Genomic DNA, 22,842 nt, shown 5'->3' with positions numbered 1-22,842 from the left:
ATTAGCACGTGTAGGACATTGGAATTTGCACCCAATCTGCTCTAGAGTCAAAGCACTTAATCTCTCTGTCAGAAAGCTGACTAAAATCTTAACCTCGGCTGGGCGCAGTAGCTCATGCCTGTAATTCCAGCACTTTGGAAGGCCGAGGCAGGCGGATCACGAGGTCAGGAGATCAAGACCATCCTGGCTAACACGGTGAAACCCCGTCTCTACTAAAAATACAAAAAAAATTAGCCGGGCAAGGTAGCAGGCACCCGTAGTCCCAGCTACACAGGAGGCTGAGGCAGGAGAATGGCGTAAACCTGGGGAACGGCGCCTGCAGTGAGCAGAGATCGCGCCACTGTACTCTAGCCTGGGTGACAGAGTGAGACTCCATCTCAAAAAAAAAAAAAAATCTTAACTTCATTACCCTTCTCTCATCTCTGTATTTTTATATGAGTTAAATAAGAAAACATGAAAGCCTATTACCTAATACTTAGCACATAGTAGGCAATCACTAAATAGTAGTTAATCTAACCATATATAAATACATCCTAAAGATTTAGGTATTTAAGTACTGCTTTTCTCATTTAATTCTCTTGGTGATTATTGCAAAGTCTGTAACTTCATTCCCCACAGAATTAACTTTTCTTAACTAGTGAGTAGGGCAAGCTGATGTCATTGCTTAAAAGTTCCCAAGGACATAAAGCCTATATAATGTAGGTAGAACAACACCAACACTACAGCTGCCAGCGCTTCTTTCTCTACAGATTCCCCTTCAGTACTTGAAGGTGGAATAATCCACCTGAAACTGGCAATACAAAACTTGCACCTAAACAGTGTGCTGCAAAGGAAATAGGATGCTTCTGCCGCACTGGTTTTCTGAATAATTAGATCAAGTTTTGTGTTAGAAGTGTCCTAATAAACCTGAAGGGCCTGCAAAAGTGGCTGACTCTTTTTTTTTTTTTTTTTTTTTGGACAGGGTCGTTGTGTTGCTCAGGATGGAGTGCAGTGGTAAAATCACGGCTCACTGCAGCCTTGACCTCCTGGGTTCAAGAAATCCTCCTGCCTCAGCCTCCTGAGCAGCTGGAACCACAGGTATAAGCCAACATGCCCAGCTAATTTTTTGTATTTTTTGTAGAGACGGGGTTTCGCCATGTTGCCCGGGCTTGACTGTGGCTTTTAATCTCCTCTACTCACCACTACAATCTGGAAAAGTGAAAACATATATATTATTTCTGTACTACATTTTCTGTTAACTGGAAACCAATCCTAGAAAATCTTGGTGCAGAATTACATATTTTGACATATTGAAAAATATGATAATAATATAGCTACAAAGGTGTGATTTTTACAGACAGCCTGAAATAGTACCTTTTACCAGAAAATATCGCCAAATACATCTACTGTGACATCACCAAAACTGTGAACAAGACCTAAGGAGGGAACTTCAAGGGCTCTCACCTTTCTTATTGGAGAAAGCAAGGTAAATGGGGTTATCTGACTAGTCCAACTTCAAATAAGTTGTTATTTCTACTGGAAGATAAAAGTCTTGATATTGAAAGTGCAGGACTGACACTTCTGTTACTTTTGGAGGTACTAAGAGCATCAGAAACAACCCAGGTGACTTTTATAGATATTTTAGTTGGATTTTATATCTGTTCTTAATCATCTTTCCCCATTTCCTTGAAATGTATGCAAAAAACACTAGGTTTTCTTCTTGTGCACCATATTCTTTCTACTGCAGTTGAACACATCTCCATTTTGCAAAGCATTTTTTTCCTGTGGCTCCACAGAAATAGAAAAAAATGATAATTATGGAAAAAGTTTAGTTTAAAATGTATATCCATATTCTATGAGGGGAGAACAGAAGCCTTCATTTCAGACCTAGTTCTTGGTCTGCACACCCTCTTCAGTCTGTGCAGGTGAAATTTCCCATACTGAATAAAATCCTAGCCCCATTCTTGGTCAGCTCTTCGGCTTTGAATTTTGCGACCATGAAAACAAGTGTAAATCAGTAACACTTAAAATCACTTCTTGGAGCAAAAGCTTCAAACGAATACTCGAAGAAAAATTTCTAAACAGTAAAATCAATCAATAGCTACATTTAGATGCTGCTGTAAATATTAATCCAAACACTGGACACAGTGAGTTTAATTTTTAAGTGTTAACTGAAGGACTTCTCTGGCCCCAAAAATATCTTCTTTGCCACATTTCACAAGCAGTGTGGGGTTGACTCATTAGTCTGCCAGGGAGCCTGATCTTGAGGGATGATATAAATCTCCAGTAGTCACTTGTGATAGGAAGGAAGTAGCAAGGATCATGGGGCCCAAGCAACCAAGAGAGACAGCTTCCTTGGGTGGGCCACCCCTGGAAGGCTGTGTGTGTCAGGGCAGCAGCATGAAGGAGGAAAGCTAGAAAAGAGAGATTCCTCATAGTCCCCCTAACCCTGCCCCACAATCTGACTCAGGACACCAAGGAGAGGAAGAGAGAGGCCACTAAGACATATTCTGCTTCACTCCCTGATTCTACCAACTACCACAAAAATTCAGATGAGAGTGGTGGTAGAGCGGACGAAGCCTGAACCAAGAGTCGGGAGACCTGAGCTCTAGACCCAGCTGTGACTCCAGTTCCGTGTAACCTTGGACCAGTTGATTTGACTCTCTGTGCCTCATTTTCTCTATTTGTAAAATGAAAAAAAAATAGATTATGTCAACTCTCAAGTCCCTTTAAGGGCTAAAATCCTGTGACTATAATGCATATGCTCGTTATTTTAAAAAATAGTGGTGCTTGAGTCATAGGCTAATTTAAAAGAAAATAACTATTTTTATTTCACTTGTGGGCCAGTAAGACAACAGAACGGGACTTTGAAAAGAGCTAGAGTGATCTAATCAAGACAGTAATGTTATTAGGCTTGGATCTTGACTCCCAGTTTAAGAATAAGTCTGCCCTCAGCTGAGGGGTGGAGGAGAGGTCAACTTCCACATTTTCCAAGGCTTCCAGGGTTTTATCCTGCCTTCTCTAAACAATTGTTCAAGAACATCACAGCCACGTTGCCAATTGTCCAGTAGCTTGGTACAAAGCTTCTGCCCTCTGAAAGTTATGTCATGGAAATTACAGTCTCAGAGCCCCATGGCAAAGCCAACAGCTGAGCAAGTGGTTTGGGTTGATGAAAAGTGCAGTCTGCAGGACTATTAAAAAAAAAAGCTATGTTCAGGGACCATATTTGTGTAGCCTTGAACAAATTATGTATTTGAGTTAAAGAGAATCTTAACTTCTTCTCCTGTAAAAATCCATAACCTAAATCTAAACATTGATATCCTACTACATTAATGGAGAAATAACTTGTTTGGTCTTTCCCTCTCTCTCTCCCTCTTCAAGATTGTTTTATATCTCTTAATGAATGAAGATTCTCTATTTTATTATTCCAAAAGTGTATGTTAAGTACCTACTATGGGTGTATCATCATGTAAGATGTTAATGGGGATTTTTAAAAGAAATGCAAGATATTTTACCATAAATTCTAGATGGAGAGAAAAGGCATAAACACACAAGAAATTAAATGACCAAATGATTGATGCAGATACTGTGTTATATTAGACTTTTTTTCTAATTCTTTACAGGTTGTCTAACAAAGAGAATGGAAGAGGCCATCCTACTCAATCAAACTTCTTTAGTGACATATTTTCGGCTTAGAGGTTTATCTGTAAATCATAAGGCACGGATAGCTATGTTTTCCATGTTCCTCATTTTTTATGTCCTGACACTGATTGGGAATGTTCTCATTGTCATAACTATTATCTATGACCACCGGCTCCATACTCCCATGTATTTCTTCCTCAGCAACCTGTCCTTTATTGATGTCTGCCACTCCACTGTCACTGTCCCCAAGATGCTGAGAGACGTGTGGTCAGAGGAAAAGCTCATCTCTTTTGATGCCTGTGTGACCCAGATGTTCTTCCTGCACCTCTTTGCCTGCACAGAGATCTTCCTCCTCACCGTCATGGCCTATGATCGGTATGTGGCCATCTGTAAACCCCTGCAGTACATGATAGTGATGAACTGGAAGGTATGTGTGCTGCTGGCTGTGGCCCTCTGGACAGGAGGGACCATCCACTCCATAGCCCTCACCTCCCTTACCATCAAGCTGCCCTACTGTGGTCCTGATGAGATTGACAACTTCTTCTGTGATGTACCTCAGGTGATCAAGCTGGCCTGCATTGACACCCACGTCATTGAGATCCTCATTGTCTCCAACAGTGGATTGATCTCCGTGGTCTGTTTTGTGGTCCTGGTGGTGTCCTACGCAGTCATCCTGGTGAGTCTGAGGCAGCAGATCTCCAAGGGCAAGCGGAAGGCCCTGTCCACCTGTGCAGCCCATCTCACTGTAGTTACACTGTTCCTGGGACACTGCATCTTCATCTATTCCCGCCCATCCACCAGCCTCCCAGAGGACAAGGTAGTATCTGTGTTTTTCACTGCAGTCACCCCCCTGCTGAACCCCATTATCTATACCCTTAGGAATGAAGAAATGAAGAGTGCCTTAAACAAGTTAGTGGGGAGAAAAGAGAGAAAAGAAGAAAAATGAAAATGTCTACGTCCTTAGGATACGTGGTGCTCCAAATTAAAGAAGCGCCTTGCAAAGAATAAGTTACATACCATATTTATCAGACTATGTGACTTATAAAACTATCCTTGGTCCAATATCTGACAGTCATAGCAATCGTTATGGTTATTAATATCTTCTCTGTGCTGGAAATTATTCTAGGCACTGTGCATTTACTTAATTCTCACAACTTTGAAAGGTAGATATTATGATGCTTGTTTGTACATGAAGAAACTAAAGCTCGAGGAGAGTAAATAACATGCCCAAAGTCACTCAGCTAGAAAACAATGAAGGCAGCATGTGAATCCAAGTGGATCAACAGAAACTCAAGCTCTTTTCACAACATATGCTGCCTCTTTCTGCTTTTCTGTTGGAGTGATAACCAAGGTCTAAACAAACCTTCAGATTTCTGGGCAGCCCTTGCCTGCATCATTCACTCAGATGCTTATGTAAACAGCTTAGCAAACACTAGTGAAGCAGATAAAGTGAGTTTCCACATGACTTTGGTGACAGAGAAAGAAGACTTTGAACAGGTGAAGTTACTGACACTCTCAAGTATCCAGGCAAAATCTGCCATCAGAGCAATGAAATGGGGATATCTTACTATTCATTCATTTGACAAATATTTACTGAGCACTTATTATGTACCAGATACTAGGTTTATAGCCATAAATAAGACATACATGTAGTCCTTCCTTCATGGAGTTTAGGGTCTAGTGAAAATAGAAAACAAAAATATGAACAAATAAATTTTAACTACAGATTGTGATAAATGCTATAAAACAGCAGGGTGCTGTTAGAGAGTATGGAAGAGACTTGCTTTAGTGGTCAAGGATGGCCTCTCTGAGGAAGTTACATTTAAGATTAAAAGGAGCCAGCCATAAGAGAGGTGATGGACATTCTAGACAGGGGAAATGGCCGGTGCAAAGATCTATGCTGGGAAAGACCTTGGCTTGTTCAAGGAAGTAAATGATCAGTGTGATTACAGCTTAGACTATAAGGCAGAGAGTGGCAAGAGAGTGATATCAGAGAGCTAAAAAGAATCTTTCCATATTCTCTCAAGAAGTTTAGAATCTTTTCCAGTACAATAAGAAGCCACCAGAATGATTTAAGCACAGGTGTGGCATGAAATAATTTATGTTTTAATAAAATTATTTTAGTTATTATGTAGAGAATTCACTCAACTAAGCAACAGCATCCAATATTGTTCTTAGAGCAATGGATGACTGTTAAGTACTTAGTCATAAATACTTAGAAAACAACTTGGTAGAAACTTGGTAGAAAACACCAAGTTGGATAAACCATTGTCTATAAACCAACATCTTAAATCTCACTGTGGCGGCACATAGTGTAGCAGAATGGAATGTGGTGAATCAACTGGGATATGAAGAGGATATCCCAGATAACGGCATCTCATATTCATGTTTACAAAAGAGCATGACACATTGGAAATCATCAGTTTGTTCTCACATCATCGCTAAAAAAGGCATGCTTAAATGCAGCTGGGATTTCCTAGGCACTCAGTGAGTGTATGATCAATAAACCTGTGAGCCACAAGGTCTACATCATGATTTTTAGGAGGAAAATTTTTATTTGCTAGGAAATGTGTTAGGAAGGATATTCAAGTGACACAAGAATTATAAAATTTATGTAAAATAAATGCCCTTTTATTATAGGCAATGGCAGACAATAAGGAGAAATATCTAAATATCTTTCCAATGAGCCCAAATGGAACTGCTTGTGCAGGAATCAGCCATACAGAGGAACACGTGCAAAATTGTCATATTGTCTGTCAACAACACAATGCTTCAACGTAGCCATTAAGATTGTAGCTGGTAAAACTATAACGGAACAACGTTGTGATGTTTGCTTATTTTTTTCATAGCAGCAAGCAAAATTTCTGACACTACCCGTTTTTAGTCACACTAATTTTTCAACTCTCTGGGGACGTAAAAATAAAACATTTTGTCTCCGTTTTACAGAAAAAAGCTTTTCAGACTCAGAGACAAGATAAAAATGTATTTAATTACTCACTAAATAAATAGAGAGTCTTAAAGAACAAAAATAAAAGATCTTGATGCTTGGCTCTGTGGTTTACTTACTTTAACAGGAGAGAGGAATCATTATTTATTAATATAGAAATCTGCTCAGCAACTTTGTATTCAACAATTGAATTCTTCAGGTTACAACCATGTTCTATACGGTAAAATAATGAATAGTGCCATAATACAAATAAACAAATAAGACAGTGGGAATTTATTTCTGCATAAAAGATATTAATGAGTATGAATACTTATGCACATAAAAGTCCAGAAACTAGAGGCATAATTAGATCATTTTTCTAAGTTTTTAACATGTACATAGTAGTGATATCTGGACTTCATTTCATCATAGATATCTAAAACTCTTACTATGACTCAAGTTTTATATGAGAATTATAGGGGACTGACCATTTTCTACCCTTGTTTGTCAACTTGAAGTAATGATATTTAGATATTTTCATGAGCATCTCTCAGTTTAATGAATAGACTGCTTCTGATTCTTTGTCCTTTTGATTACTAAAAGGTAATCATGTATTACTCTTTAGTTAGAGTTAGTGGGTCACTCACTCTGTATTGTGTATGTCTGTAATGTGTGGATGGCTATGTTGTCTGCTCTCCAGTTCTCCAGAATACTCAAGTATTATTTCTATAAGTTGACAGACCATGTGGAAAATAGTGACAAAGACCCCAATCAATTATAAATTTTTTTCAGAATAAGCAAAGAAACATATTTATACTTAATATTTTTATTATTAACCATATTTCATTTCATTCCATCAGCTCCATTAAAGTTGATATTGTATGGTAGCTCTCTGACCATCTATAGGATCTTCATTTACAGCTAATCCTACTTATTTCAGTCACAGAATATCATCATCATTACCTAAGAAATTTGTCATGGATCCCTCTTCATATGGACTTGCCCATTCCACAATAAACTGATATACTTCAGCCCAATGAGTGATAGTAGTTAATGATTAGCTGAGAGGGGCAGGTGGCTTGAACTCAGGAGTTTTGAGACCAGCCTGGCCAACGTGGTAAAACCTCATCTCTACTAAACATATAAAAATTAGCCAGGCATGATGGCATGCACCTATAGTCCCAGCTATTCAGGAGGCTGAGGCAGGAGAATCACTTAAACCTGGAGGTGGAAGTTGCAGTGAGCTAAGATGGCGCCACTGCACTCCAGCCTGGGCGACAGAGTAATTAGGAAAAAAAAAAAAAAAACCACTTGGTATTTTCTACCTTTTTAATTTTTACTATTCTTGTGGGTGTATAGTTTTGTTTTGTTTTAACTTTTTATTTTGACAATAATTTCAGACTTACAGGAAGTTGCAGGAATAGTACAAAAAATTCCTGTCTCAAAAAAAAAGTACAAAATAGATCTAGACATGAGAGAATTACATTCAAAAGCAACAAAAGTTTAATTCAATATAAATAAGTAAAGGCTTATTTATACACTTGAAAATATATTGGAAAACAAGATTGAAACTACTATAATGTATAAATCACAGGAGTGATGTATAGCTTCCCAGAGGCAATAGCCCACAGAACAGTATAAATCAAGAGAGTCAATTCTCACTCTACCTGCTCCTGAAACTGAGACTGAACTGAGTTCCCCAAATTGTATTCTTTTACTGATGAAATCAAAAGCTGTCTTTAAACTTTCCCACGTTATTTTTCCTTATAACTTCCACTATGATCTTTTGCTTTATTTAAATAATAGTTAATAAGTTCTTATCTTTAATGAACAGAATAAGTTCTTATCTTTAATGAGCAGAAATCTGACCTGCTCTATGCCATTTTACCTAATTTACCAAGTTATATAAGTTGATTTTGACTCTTTACTTTTGCTCTTTCATTAAGGATGTGGCTGCAATTATGTCTGCAATCCCAGTGCCCATTATGTATATGATTTCGTGAAAAAAACTTGTCTCTGCCTGAGCTGCTTCATGGCACTTTTTACCTCCTCATTCCTCAAGGTGTAAATGAAGGGATTCAGCAAAGGGGTGACCACTGTGTAGAAGACAGACACCACCTTGTCAATGGAGAAGCTGGTGTCTGGCCGAGTATAGATGAAGATACATGGCCCAAAGAAGAGGGCAACCACCATGAAGTGGGCCGAGCAGGTAGACAGGGCTTTCCGGCGCCCTTCAGCTGAGTGTTTTCGAAGAGAAACCAGGATGACCATATAGGAGGTGACCACGGCCAAGAAACAGGAGAGGGAGATGGTTCCACTATTGGTCACAATCAGTATTCCTGTGAGGTATGTATCTGTGCAGGCCAGCTTGATAACAAGAGGCACATCACAGAAGTAGCTGTCAATAATGTTGGGGCCACAGTAAGGTAGACGAATAGTCAAGAAGGTCTGCCCTAGTGAGTGAACAGTACCCCCCAACCAGAGAGCAAAGACAAGCTGTATACAGACTCTCATGTTCATCACATTGGGGTAGTGGAGTGGAGTGCAGATAGCCACGTAACGATCATACGCCATAATGATCAGCAGAAAGATCTCGGCACAGGCAAAGAGATGTAGGAAGAAGAGCTGTGTGATGCAGTTGTCAAAGGAAATGGTCTTTCTTTCTAAAAGCAAACCCTCCAACATCTTAGGCACAGTGACAGATGAGTGGCAGATGTCAATAAAGGACAGATTGCTCAGGAAGAAATACATGGGGGTATGGAGACTTGGAGTAAAGACTGTGGCAATGATGATGAGAATGTTCCCCGAAAGCGTTAGCATATAAATGGCTGAGAATGCCATGAAAAACAGCATTTCCAGCACCCGGTTATCAGTGAGTCCCAAGAAGACAAATTCAGTCACTCTTGTTTGGTTTAGACTGTCCATTCAATGAGCTTAGGGGGGAAAAAATGAAAGCTAATTTAGTTTTATTATTATAGGAATAGAACTAATTGAAATGACTTTGTATTCTTATCTGAATTGCTTATTTATCATCAGAGCATATAGCTTATGAAATCAATTTAACAGTAGTTGTTACAGTATACCCACTACTTACCAGGAGCCATGCCAGGCACTTCTATTTAAACACAACCACCCTATGGCACATGAATCAATTGTTTCTGCCTTGCAGATGAGATCAGTGAGCCTTTACAAGAATAAATAAATGCCCGAAACCTTACACATTAGTTATTTGGCTCTTTTCACTTCAAACTAAAGCACTGATAACATTAAGCTAATATTCCAATACAACTCCCAACTAAATAATTTGACTCTTCTATCAAATTAGATATACATTCAAAGCCTGCAACAGTCTGCTGCACATTTTCATTTTTTCAATGTGAGTGTCCTTTTATTCTCCCTATTAATTCTTCTCTCTGACCAAGCAAGTCACTGTCCTCCAGGCATCCTACCTCCACCTACTTACCTTCCAAAATCTTTGTCTTTACTTTTTCTTTTCCCTCTGCTCAGAAAACATACACTCTATTCAAGTGTACTCTCCTCACCTCATTGTTTACTATTAATATACAAACAACTCCATTAAAAATGGGCAAAGAACATGAACAGACACTTCTCAAAAGAAGACATTTATGTGGCCAACAAACAGGAAAAAAAGCTCAACATCACTGATCATTAGAGAAACGCAAATCAAAACCACAATGAGATACCATTGGCTATTATGAAAAAGCCAAAAAACAACAGAAGAACAGATGTTGGTGAGGTTGTGGAGGAAAAGGGACATTTTTACACTGTTGATGGGACTGTAAATTAGTTCAACCATTGTGGAAGACAGTGTGGTGATTCCTCAAAGATCTAGAACCAGAAATACCATTTGACCCAGCAATCCCATTACTGGGTATATAACCAAAGGAAAATAAATTATTCAATTATAAAGATACATGTACATGTATGCTCATTGCAGCACTGTTTACAATAGCAAAGTCATGGAATCAGCCTAAATGCCCATCAATGATAGAATGAATAAAGAAAATGTGGTACATAACACCATGAAATATTATGCAGCCATAAAAAGGAACAAGATCATGTCCTTTGCAGGGACATGGATAGACTTGGAAGCCATTATCCTCAGCAAACTAATGCAGGAACAGAAAACCAAACATCACATGTTCCCATTTATAAGTGGGAGCTGAATAATGAGAACACGTGGACCCACTCTACACCTGTGGAGGTCTGGGCTTAATACCTGACGATCTGTGCTGTAAACCACCATGCCACACGTTTACCTATGTAACAAAACTGCACATCCTGCACACTTATCCATGAACTTAAAGGTGAAGAAAAAAATACTATTCATCCTTCACTTTGTCTTTGACTATTTCAAAGAACACTACCTTTAAGAAAACTTTCCTGACCCAGTCAAAGCCTATCTATTCCCTCTCAGGCTTCTTTTATGGTCCTTGACCTGTAAAATAAAGTAAAATAAGATGTTCATTTTTGCTCTCCACTAAATCAAAAAAAAAAAATTTTTTTCGAGACGGAGTCTTGCTCTGTTGCCCAGGCTGGAGTGCAGTGGCATGGTCTCGGCTCACTGCAAGCTCCGCCTTCCAGGTTCACACCATTCTCCTATCTCAGCCTCCCAAGTAGCTGGGACTACAGGCTCCCACCACCACACCCAGCTAATTTTTTTGTATTTTTAGTAGAGACGGGGTTTCACCATGTTAGCCAGGGTGGTCTCAATCTCCTGACCTCGTGATCCACCCACCTCGGCCTCCCAAAGTGCTGGGATTACAGGCGTGAGCCACCGCGCCCAGACTAAAATTTTTTTAAGAGTAGTAACCACACAGGACTTATCCTTTGCAGCACTTAGTAGGTGCCTTGTACACAATGGGTATGCAAAAACAATTTTTACTTGAACTGAACCTAACTTCTTAGGCAGCCTGAAAAAGAACTCAAGCCTTCCTTCACAATGGAGCTAAGAAAATACTTAAGAAACTTACTTCTTTAAATTACGTAATATGATATTATTGTATAAATACTAAAGTTATATTACCCTAACTTTTTATACTGATGGCTGGCCAAAAACTATAACCGTTGGGAAATAATTATCACAAGCCACAAAAATAATTTATATTCTTGATCCAATTATTTCACTTGTAAGCATTCAAACTATGAAAAAAGCTAAATGCAAGGAAATATTAACTATAGTATTATTTAAAATAACGTGAGGCTTACATTAGGGGTTTACATTAGGAACAGTAGTTCACAGGGCTTACATCAGGAACAATGTCATGGGGCTTACATTAGGAACAATAGTGACAAAGGCCTACCAACGTGAAAAAATATTAAACATAATGAATAAAAATGAGATAAAGCGTGTTAAACTTTCTCAATAATTTAAAATATATAATGCCAGCCAGGCGTGGTGGCTCATGCCTGTAATCCTAGCACTTTGGGAGGCCGAGGCAGGTGGATCACGAGGTCAGGAGTTCAAGACCAGCCAGACCAATATGGTGAAACCTCATCTTTACTAAAAATACAAAAATTAGCCAGGTGTAGTGGTGCATGCCTGTAATCCCAGCTACTCAGGAGGCTGAGGCAGGAGAATTGCTTGAACTGAACCAGGGAGGCAGAGGCTGCAGTGAGCCAAGATTGCACCAGTGCACTCAAGCCTGGGCAACAGAGCAAGACTCCGTCTGAAAAAAATAATAATAATAACAAAATATATAGTGCCATATAAATTATCAAAAAAAAGGTAGACGTGAAGAAAATATTGTAACATAGATAACCAAAAAAGAATACTCCTGTTATCCAAGATCTCTTAAAACTTGATAAGAAAAGACAAACGACTCAATTAAAAATGAGCAAAGATATACTTAAGTCACAGAAAAAGAACTTCAAATGACAAATAAGTATGAATAAAAATATGCTTAATTAGTAATAGATTAAAAAGAAAATCAAATACTTTTTGTCATTCATCGGATTAACAAAGATATAAGGAAAGGAGTACTCTTAACACTGCTACTAGAAGTAGGTATTATTGAGATCTTTTTGGAAAATAATCTAGCAGTGCCAATTAAAATTTTAAACACTCATACCTCTGAACCCAGCAACTTTACTTATAGGACTGTATTTTGTAGAAATAAAGAAACTGGTAACTAAAGAACTAAAGATACATGTTTAAAGACTTTTTAGTAGAATAACATACTGGAAACAAACTGAATGTTTCTCAATAGAGGACTAGATAAACACATTTTAGTACAGCCACAGTATGGAATATTATGAGCTATTAAGAATAATAATAATAATGAGTTGGATCTATATGTATAACCTAAGGCAGTGGTTCTCAATGTGGCTGCACATTAGAACCACTTAAAGAAGTTTTATAAATTTTGATACCCAGGCCTCATGCCAAACCATCAATTCAGAATTTCTGACAATTGGACCCATCAGCACTATTAATACTCCTTGGAGAGTCCAGTGTGCAGCCAAGATTACAAACTACTAATTCATGGAATGTCAATAACATATTGTTAAGCAAAAGAACCTATTATGAGTATATTACGAACCTTGAAGGAAAGAAGGCAGGGAGTGAGGAAGGGAGGGACAAAGGAATGAATGAACAAAGGAAGAAAGAAATCGAAAAAGATTTGTGTGTGTATGCATATATATTTACGCATATATGTACATGCATATGCTTCAACATATTAATATTTATACATATTCAAACATATATACATATTCATGAATTATGTTTGTATATATTTATTCCTAGAAGGACACAAGATAGTTGTTGACGAACACACATCAATTTTAACATTAGTTAATTCTAGAAGTATGGAATTGAAGGAAATGATAGGATTTTATTAATTTTTACATTATAATTCATAATTGTTCAAGTTTGTATAATAAGCATGGGTTACTTTGTTTTAAAACAAAGTATTAAAAGCATGCACAGGGAAAAGCAAGTGAGAAGAATACCCATAGCTTGTTCTTATCCTACTGCTGTTATCTTTAATTTGTTCCAATTGTATTATAAACATATAATTTTATATTCTATTTTTCACTCAGTATTATATCATAAGTGTATAACCAAGTGACATTTCATCACATATATGTATTCAAATGTGTGCACCCAGTCCATCCTTTGTGGCCATTTATGATGTTTCTAATTTCTCACTATTAAAAATAATGGTACAATCTTTCTCAACATTACAGTGAGAAATCCTATTAAAACATAGGTCAAGCTGGGTGCAGTGACACGTGCCTGTAGTCCCAAATACTCAAGAGGCTGAGGTGGAGGATCTATCGCTTAAGTCCAGAAGTTCAAGGTCTGCCTAGGCAGCACAGCGAGATGCCATCTTTAAAAAAAAAAAAAAAAATAGATCAGATTAAATCATTTCACTAATTCGAAGACTTTCGATGGCTCCCTGTTCACACATTGTAAGTGAAGTCTTTACTTTGGCCTGTAAAGCCCTCAATGACACAACTTCCCATTTCCTCTCTGACCTCGTCTCCTACCACTCTTCCTTTCAGCTCCAATCACGTTGTCCTCCTTGGTATTCCTCAAATACTCAAAACACAGTCCCACTCTGGGGCCACTGCACTGGCTGCTTCCTCTGTTTGGAATCTCTTCCCCCAGATATCCCATAATTCTGGGGTCCCCAGCACCTGGGCCACAGATGGGTACCAGGCTGCACAGCAGGAGGTGAGTGCTTCAGCATCACCACCTGAGCTCTGCCTCCTGTCAGATCAGCCTTGGCATTAAATCCTCAATCGCAAACCCTATTGTGAACTGCACATGTGAGGGATCTAGATTGTGCACTCCTTGTGAGAATCTAATGCCTGATGATGTAGGTGAAACAGTTTTATCCTGAAACCAATCGCCCCCACCCCCAGTCCATGGAAAAATTTGTCTTCCATGAAACTGGTCCCTGGTGCCAAAAAGGTTGGGGACCACTGGCATAATTAACTCCCTCACCCCCTTGATGTCTTTGCTCAAACATCACCTTCTCAACAAGGTTTATGCTGATGAACATAATATAAAACTAAAACTCACCGAGAATTCCAGCACTCCTGATCCCCTTTATCCTGATCTACCTTTTTTATTTTTTGAAAGCACTGATCACCTTCTAATATACTGTATAATTCACTTATTTAGTCTATTGTTTATTATTTTCTTTCTCCTGCTGCTAGAATATAAATTCTAAAAGGACAGGGATCTTTGTTTCGCTCTATGAATCATCCAAATTATCTAGGAAAGTATATAGAACATAGCAGTTGCTCAATACATATTTTTGAACGATTATAACTTCTCTAATATATTATTCCGTTAGGAATAGATTACTAGAAATGAGTTTACTAGCTTAAAGATTATACCTCAAAATATATTATTATCAAATTGCTTCCCAAAATATTTGCAAGATTAAATAATTCACTCATGGTCACTCAGCAACTGGCTAAAATGGAATTTGAATTTTTCAGAGCCTACGTTCTTAACCAAAGAACTAAAAGAAAAAAACATAAAATGGGATTTAAGTAGCAATAAGATCCAACTATGCACTCCCTGAAGGAAGGGAAATATCTCATTCATTTTTCTATCCACAGAGCAAAGTAACTGGCATAAAGGAAGAACTCACTGAATACTTATTGAATTAATTTTTTTAATGTTTTAAAAGTAGGACAAAGCAATCTTCCTGCCTCAGCCTCCCAGCACTTTGGAAGGCTGAGGCAAGAGGATTGCTTGAGGCCAGGAGTTCATGACCAGCCTGGGCAACATAGTGACACTGCATCTCTACAAAAATTTTAAAATTAGCTGAGTGTGGTGGCACATGTCTATAGTCCTAGCTACTCCAGAGACTGAAGCAGGAGAAACATTTAAGCTCAGGAGTTTGAGGCTGCAGTGAGCTATGATCATGCCACTGCAAGCCAGCCTGGGCAACAGATCAAGACCCTGTCTAAAAATAAAATAAATAAAATTTTTAAAGATATTTTCAAAGTAGCACTGCAAGGAAGAATTATGAAAAATCCAAAAATTTGGGGGTAAGTTGATCTGTACATCAAAATAATTACCCATTTTAAGGCAATCAGCAGAAATCTTATTTACAAAGGGGCAATTGAGCTAAAAGCACCAGAATCCCCACTAGACATCAGTATTGTGTATTGTATACTGCGTATATTAGAATTCTTCATTTAAAAAAAAAAACTGAAGGTCAATGAAATCTATCTCTTCCTGCTCTTTGTCTACCTTTTTTACCTTTCTTCCAAGAGCTCTAGAGTTCCCACAGCAGCTCCACAATGTAGACAGCAACAACTTTCCCCTTTTTGAAATCATACCTCTGAAGAGTATCGTGACTTTCCAGAGATCAGTGACCTCTACTCCCTGACCCCAGTTTCAGCCTACTCATCTTTACTTTTCATCAATGATACCTCCAACCCTATCTTTCTCTGCCTCTTGTCTCTGTTTCTACCTGATCTCTCTTTCAGCACTAAAGGCTCAATCCTTGGCAAGGACCCACTTAGAGAAGTGTTACTTAGAGAAGGCTCCTTTTGCCAAGAGGAACATGATTTTCCATCACAGTAGACCATTATCGTGTTAGCCTCAAATGGATTTGTAAAATCCAGAGCTTCCAAGGTCTTGCTTAGATGGATCTGATATAAGAGAACTGCCTATACTGATTGAATGCCAGGGCTTAAACCCTCAAGAAGAGACAAGGCAGAAGTTCATAGGAACACGCTCTAACCTTTGACAGGTTCATCTCCCTAATAAAATGGGATGCAGGTAAGCTTCAGAGGTGTTTTGTGGCTTTCCCAGCTTTTGCATGGCAAGATTGGAATTCTGTCCCAATTCTCCTGTCCCTAGGCCTTTCTATTACTCAATAGTTGGCTGCAGAGAGCTGAGTTGGATTAACTCCTAAATCCCTTTCAGCATATTAAATTTAGTTTATTTTTTAAAGATTTGATTCTTCTCTGTATATGAGGAGACCATCTACTCAGTTACCAACTAAAACTGGGAAAGAAATCTCTGAGAAAAAAAAAACTGCTGTGAAAGTTTTAGAGCTGAAGGTTGTGTAGGGTAAGAACAAAATGATGTCCTTGCTTCTGCATACATAGAAAGCATTTAGAGGCTGGGTGCAGTGGCTTATGCCTGTAATCCCAGCACTTTAGGAGGCCGAGGGGGTGGATCACCTGAGGTCGGGAGTTTGAGACCAGCCTGGCCAACATGGAGAAACCCCGTTTCTACTAAAAATACAAAATTAGCTGGGCGTGGTGGCGCATGCCTATAATCCCAGCTACTTGGGAGGCTGAGGCAGGAGAATGGCTTGAACCTGGGAGGTAGGGGTTGCAGTGAGCTGGGATCGTGCCACCGAGCTCCAGCCTGGGCAACAAGAGCAAAACTCCGTTAAAAAAAGAAAGGAAGGGAAGGGAAGGGAAGGGGGAGAGAGAGAGAGAGAGAGAGACAGACAGAAAAAGAAAGAAAGAAAGAAAGAAAGAAAAACAAAGAAAGAAGGAAGGAAGGAAGGAAGGAAGGAAGGAAGGAAGGAAGGAAGGAAGGAAGGAAGGAAGGAAGGAAAGAAAGAAGAAAGAAAGAGAAAGAAAGAAAGAAAGGAAGGAAGGAAGAAAGAAAGGAAGGAAGGAAGGAAGGAAGGAAGGAAGGAAGGAAGGAAGGAAGGAAGCATTTAACATCACAACTCCATACATTACAATGATGTAGTCATGGTGAGTTATGTCCCAAAGAGTGACCCAGGGTAAGAAATCCCAGAGGAGCAGAGCTACCAGGCCTCAACTGTAGTCCTCCAAATCTTCTCCAGAACAGCCCAAAACTAATCTGTACACTGACTTTCAGAGCACAGGTTTGCTGCGTAAGGACTTCCTTGCTCTTAGAAACAAAGACTGAATGGCCATCTGCCAGTAAAAAAGACTTCATCTTTTCAACATTCAACATTCATCCTATAATTATGTGTGAGTGTCTGCTATATTCCAGGCACTGTTCTAGGTATTCAAATCCAAAAAGCAAACAGAAGTGATGGTCTTGATCCCTTACAACCTCAAGACTCCATAACCTACGGAGTGTTCGATAACTAGGAAAAAGAAATCAGTGCTGTGGCAAACTCTAAAGGTGACAAGTCGTAACCCCAGACATCTTGAGGAATCCTGGAGGGTGTGCGTATGTGTGTTTTGTCTGTGTGTGCAGGTGCCTTCATAGGCAGCAACATGTTAAAAAAGTATTCTGATTCCTTAGACAGAAAAGAGGTTAAAACAACTCTCATAAATTAAAAGGTCTTCTATTAAACTTCTAAACACACACTTAAGTGACATATCAGACAAGTCTTGCTCAATACCAAGTACGTAATGTACATATGAGCATACATGTGCAGACCCACAAAAAGCATGACAAGCAGCGCAGGTAGTGGTAAAACTTACCAGTTTTCTCCAGTTGTGCAGGGATGCTTTAGCTAATTGTTATAAAGTTACTATAATGTTATTTCATTCACTTTTCTCATAATTGTTTCTAGAAATGAAACAGAAAAAGCAAAATCCTAAAAAACATGAAATAAAATACACTCTGATTTGGATATTAGTAACTGGCTTTCTGTTTGAACAGTTTCACCTTTTTAAGTTGTGTGTATGTGTACATGTGTGTGAGTGAGAGAGAGAGAGAGTCTCACTCTGTCACCTAGGCTGGAGTGCAGTGGCATGATCACAGCTCATTGCAGCCTCAACTTCCTGGGCTTATGCGATTCTCCCATCTCAACCTCCCAAGTAGCTGGGACTACAGGCACACACCAACCATGTCCAGCTAATTTTTTGTTTTTTTGTTCATTGCTTTTTTTTTTTTGGTTGTTTGTTTTGTTGTGTTTCTTGTTTTTTGTTTTTGGTTGGTTGGTTGGTTTTTTTGTAGAGACAGGGGCTTCGCTATGTTGCTCTGGTTGGTCTCAAATTCCTGGGCTCAAGTGATTCTCTTGCCTCAGCCTCCCAAAGTGCTGAGTTTACAGGCATGAGCCATCACGCCCAGCGGTTTCGCCTTTTTAATATTGGTCCTTGGTTTTTTTTAATCCTTTTTCTTTTCTGCAAATTTTACATTTTTCCTTTACAATACTTTGACTTTTGTCAGGCCAACTAAGACAGAACTACGTCTACTTGCCATTACCACTTTAATCAGTAACTACCATGGGCACCATTGGAACTGCATTTTAAGACGCATTCAACAAATTTTTTTATAGAAAAAAAGTATTCATTTTTAGTTCATATTAATAGAAAGCACACTTTTAGGGGATATAACTTGATACTAACATTAAGCTTAAAGTTTTGTATTAAGAAAATTTTTAAAACTTTTTTTAGGGACAGAGTCTTGCTCTGTCACCCAGGCTGTAATACAATGGTGCAATCATAGTTCCCTGTAGCTTCAAACTCCTGGACTCAAGCAATCCTCCCACTTCAGCGTTCCCAGTGGCTGGGACTACAAGCACATGCCACCATACCTGGCTAGTTTGTTGGTGTTTTGAATTTTTTTAGAGACAAGTTCTCACTATGTTTCCCAGGTTGGTCTCGAGTTCTTGGTGTCAAGCTATCCTCCCACTTCAGCCTCCTGAGTAGCCAGGATTATAGGCTGGAGCCATGGGGCCCGGTAAGAAAATACAAAAATTTTTAAGGGGTCTGTGGCAAATCAAAGCCAATTTGTCTTAGTCTATTCTTGTGCATCAGAACTAATAAATATTGTCAAATGAAAGCATATTTCCTGTCAATATACATATATAAATTTGGATTCTGCTTCTTTTTGCTCCTTTAGCCAACTCATATATTACTCTGCGTATACTTGAGCAAGTCTCTTTATTTTCATTATGGAATGCAGGTAATAATTTTATCCCTTTAATTACTATAATAGTTAATTTTCTGTGTCATCGTGGCTAGGCCATGGTACCCAGTTATTTGGTCAAACTATGATCTAGCTGTTGCTTTGAAGGTATTTTTTAGATGTGATTAATATTTATATCAGTAGACTTCAAGTAAAGCAAATTGCCCTCCATAATGTGGCGAGGCTTCATGTAATCAGTAGAAGGCCTTAAGAAAAATGACTGAGGTCCTAAGAAGAAGAAAGAATTCTATTTCCAGACTGCCTCTAGATTCAAGACTGCAACAGTAACTCCTGCTGGAATTTCCAGCCTGCAGCCCTGCTGTGAATACTTTAAACTTTCCAAACCCACAATCCACAGTCTCATAATAAATCAAGCTATCTCTGACTCTCTCTCTCTCTCTCTCTCTCTCATTTTATATATATAATGTATATACACACAGTTGACTCTTGAACAACACGGATTTGAACTGAGTCCACTTATACGCAGATTTTTTTTCAACCAAACGCAGATTGAAAATGCAGCACTCACAGGATGCAAAACCCATGTATATGGAGGGTCAACTTAGTATATACCAGTTCTGCAGGGATGACTACAGATTTGGCTATTGGTAGGGGCATCCTGGAAACCAATCCTCCCATGTATACCAAAGGACTAATTTATGTATGTGTGTGTGCATGCGTGTGTGTGTGTGTGCATCTGTGTGTGTGTGCATGCATGTGTGTGCATGCAGCGTGTGTGTGCATGTGTGTGTGTGCATGCGTGTGTGTGTGTGCATGCGTGTGTGTGTGTGCGTGCATGTGTGTAAAACCTTTGGTTCTGCTTCTCTGGAGAACTCTGACTAATATAATTACCTTCTTTGCAATGATCATCAAGATGGGACTGTGGTGAAGTTTAGGAAGACCACTGTACATTTATCACTCTCAGGAGATAAGCTTTTCTTAAAGAGCCTATTATCTCCTTTCTCCTCACCTCAGCACCCACCTTAAATAAGTAACAATAATCATGATCACATTATAAAGGTGAGGCAGGAAGAGGATAGCAAAACTCAGCATCATAAAATCAAATCAATCAACCCAGGAGCTCTATTAAGCTTAGGCTGTCTTCTAAAGTCCAAAGCAATATTCTTCAATGTATAATCAGTAACATTTGTTTATACATAAAAACTATCTATCTTATTTGTTTAAAATAAATGTTCTCAATATATATCACACACTTACCATCTACTCTGTATCTCCTCTAATGATTCCATTCGCCTCTGATACCCTATTATAGAAGCCTAGGATATAAAATCATGAAACTCAAAATTCTGCACAGGGTAAATTTTAGGCTTGAAAGCTTTGGAATTTTTACCTATCTGACACAGGATTTTGAAGTGATCATCACATGACATAACTGAACTTGCCATCAATGAATACTCGGAGGTATTATTAAAAGTTTTCCATTCCAATGCCCTTCCTGTTATTAGTCTCATTCATTTAGCCATTTAATAAGTGGACAAAAAATCCAGAAGCCTTCAAATATGGAAGAGTTCCAAACCTTTGGCAATTAGCATGACATTAGTTTGTAGAGCCACTGTAATAACCACTGCATACACACCAGGGATTCAAAGTCCATGGACAAGTGAAACCTCACCCATGAACACTAAGTAAATTGGTACCAGTCAGTGGGTACCCAGGATGCCTGATATACAGCCTCGAACTAACTTAGCTTCCAGAAGCATCTTGCTAAACACTTCCTAATTTGCCTCTTCTACTGCTTGGGCAGATGTTCAAAGCAATATCTATAAATCTATATTCTCCACACTTTACAGGTTGTCTGGGTAAGGTAATCTTTATAAGTAAGGCAAAAATATCAAAGTGTTTTATAATCAGTTTTTAAATCGCTTTTTAAATATTTTGACTATATAAAGCAAAAATATATTGTGAAATTTATAACATGTAGAAGTAAAATATATTAAAGTAATAACAAAAAGCCTGGGAGGAGAAAAACAGAAGTTTGAAAGTTTCTTATATCATACAGGAAATGATATAATATCACTTGAAGTTATACTATATTAAAGATGTATAATCTAAATTCTAGAGCAACAGCTAACATAAAGTAATATAACTAATAAGATTATAGTGAAGATGAAATAAAATTAAATACTAAAATAAAACCCAAAAACAAACATACAAAAAAACTCAATCTAGACCAAAAAGGAAAGAAAATGAACACAGAAGAAATGGGGAAAATAGAAAACAAATCACAAAATGGTAGATTTAAACCAATCATATCAATAACTACATTAGAATTTTTAAAAAAGGAAAAATAATATACCACCCTAATATTTATCAAAAAAATTTCTGGACAGGATGTTACAGAAACCTCCAACCTGGAGACACCAATATGCATAGATAACAAAAGCTCCAAGGAAAGCCCATTCCTTCTAGCCAAAGGACAAGGAAAAAGGCGGTGGCCTAACAGCAGGAAATCTTTCTGGCAATACCCTTCCTGCTCCAGCTAAACACCAACAAATAAACCACACCCCCAGGTCTCAGTCAGTGAGCAAGGAAGTTGATCTTCCACCCCACCTTCCTTCCCAATAGAAGCCACTGTGCACTCTGGTTTCCCCCTTGGTAGTGTCAGCAGGCCAAACAGGGAGCTGATCTTCCATTCCCCAGATGGCAGAAGCAGGTGGTGCTCCAGTCTCCCAGCAAGATACTGTCAGTGAGGTCCAACAATGAGCTGAGCCTCCATCTCTACCTAGCAACAATGAGGTAGAATGAGGTGCTATGAGGTGAGACAGTAAACACTCAGCTTCCCCCACCCCAATGTCAGCAATGCCCAGTGAGGAGCTGAACCTCCACACCCATCCAGTGGCCATGTAATTGAACAAAGCAATGGAAAGTAGGGCTAATCAGAGTTCCTGTTCCCACTCCCTTGTCAACAAGGACCACTGGTGAGCTAAGCCTCCACTCCTGCCATACCAACCAGGCAGGAGGTAAGTCTAGTTGGCCCTCTCCTTTCCCCTCTCCCAGCTGGCCCAGCAGAAAGCTGATCATCTCCATTCAGAGGCAATAAGGCAATGTGACTTAATGGTCCCCTTTTGGTGGGGTGGTGCCAGTGGCACCCAGCAGGAAACTGAACATATATATTCACCAAACTTTACACTACATCTCAACAGGAGAACTACCTGCTAAAAAGAAGATTAAATAAGATCCAGGTTTCCTAATAAAAAACCCATAATGTCCAGGCTACAATCAAAAATTACTTTTCATTCCAAGAATTAGGAAATCAGAACATAAATGAGAAAAGACAATCAACTGATTCAATACGAAGACGAATCAGATGCTCAAATTATTGGAAAAGGACTTTAAAACAGCTCTCACAAAAATGCTTCAATAAGTGAGTCCAGGCATGGTGGCTCATGCCTATAATCCCATCACTTTGGGAGGCTGAGGTAGG

General features: G+C 38.7%; 2 protein-coding genes and 1 further gene across 2 annotated transcripts; 1 reads left to right on the top strand and 2 right to left on the bottom strand.

Moving 5' to 3' along the window:
- TRA (T cell receptor alpha locus) overlaps window positions 1-22,842 on the bottom strand; it is a 930,229-nt gene that overhangs the window by 877,578 nt on the left and 29,809 nt on the right.
- On the top strand, window positions 737-6,669 carry OR4E1 (olfactory receptor family 4 subfamily E member 1). Its single transcript, NM_001317107.2, has 2 exons — window positions 737-1,465; window positions 3,603-6,669. The coding sequence occupies exon 2, from the start codon at window positions 3,620-3,622 to the stop codon at window positions 4,565-4,567; it is 948 nt and encodes a 315-aa protein (NP_001304036.1). The 5' UTR covers window positions 737-1,465; window positions 3,603-3,619; the 3' UTR covers window positions 4,568-6,669.
- Window positions 6,913-20,720, bottom strand: OR4E2 (olfactory receptor family 4 subfamily E member 2). The gene is made up of 4 exons (NM_001001912.3): window positions 20,616-20,720; window positions 17,966-18,053; window positions 13,809-13,902; window positions 6,913-9,480 (listed from the first exon to the last, which is right to left on the bottom strand). Exon 4 carries the CDS (start codon window positions 9,470-9,472, stop codon window positions 8,531-8,533), a length of 942 nt encoding a protein of 313 aa, NP_001001912.2. The 5' UTR covers window positions 9,473-9,480; window positions 13,809-13,902; window positions 17,966-18,053; window positions 20,616-20,720; the 3' UTR covers window positions 6,913-8,530.

The sequence above is a fragment of the Homo sapiens genome, chromosome 14, assembly GCF_000001405.40.
Source record: "Homo sapiens chromosome 14, GRCh38.p14 Primary Assembly".
NCBI lineage: Eukaryota > Metazoa > Chordata > Mammalia > Primates > Hominidae > Homo > Homo sapiens.
This window is presented reverse-complemented; position numbering and strand designations above follow the sequence as displayed.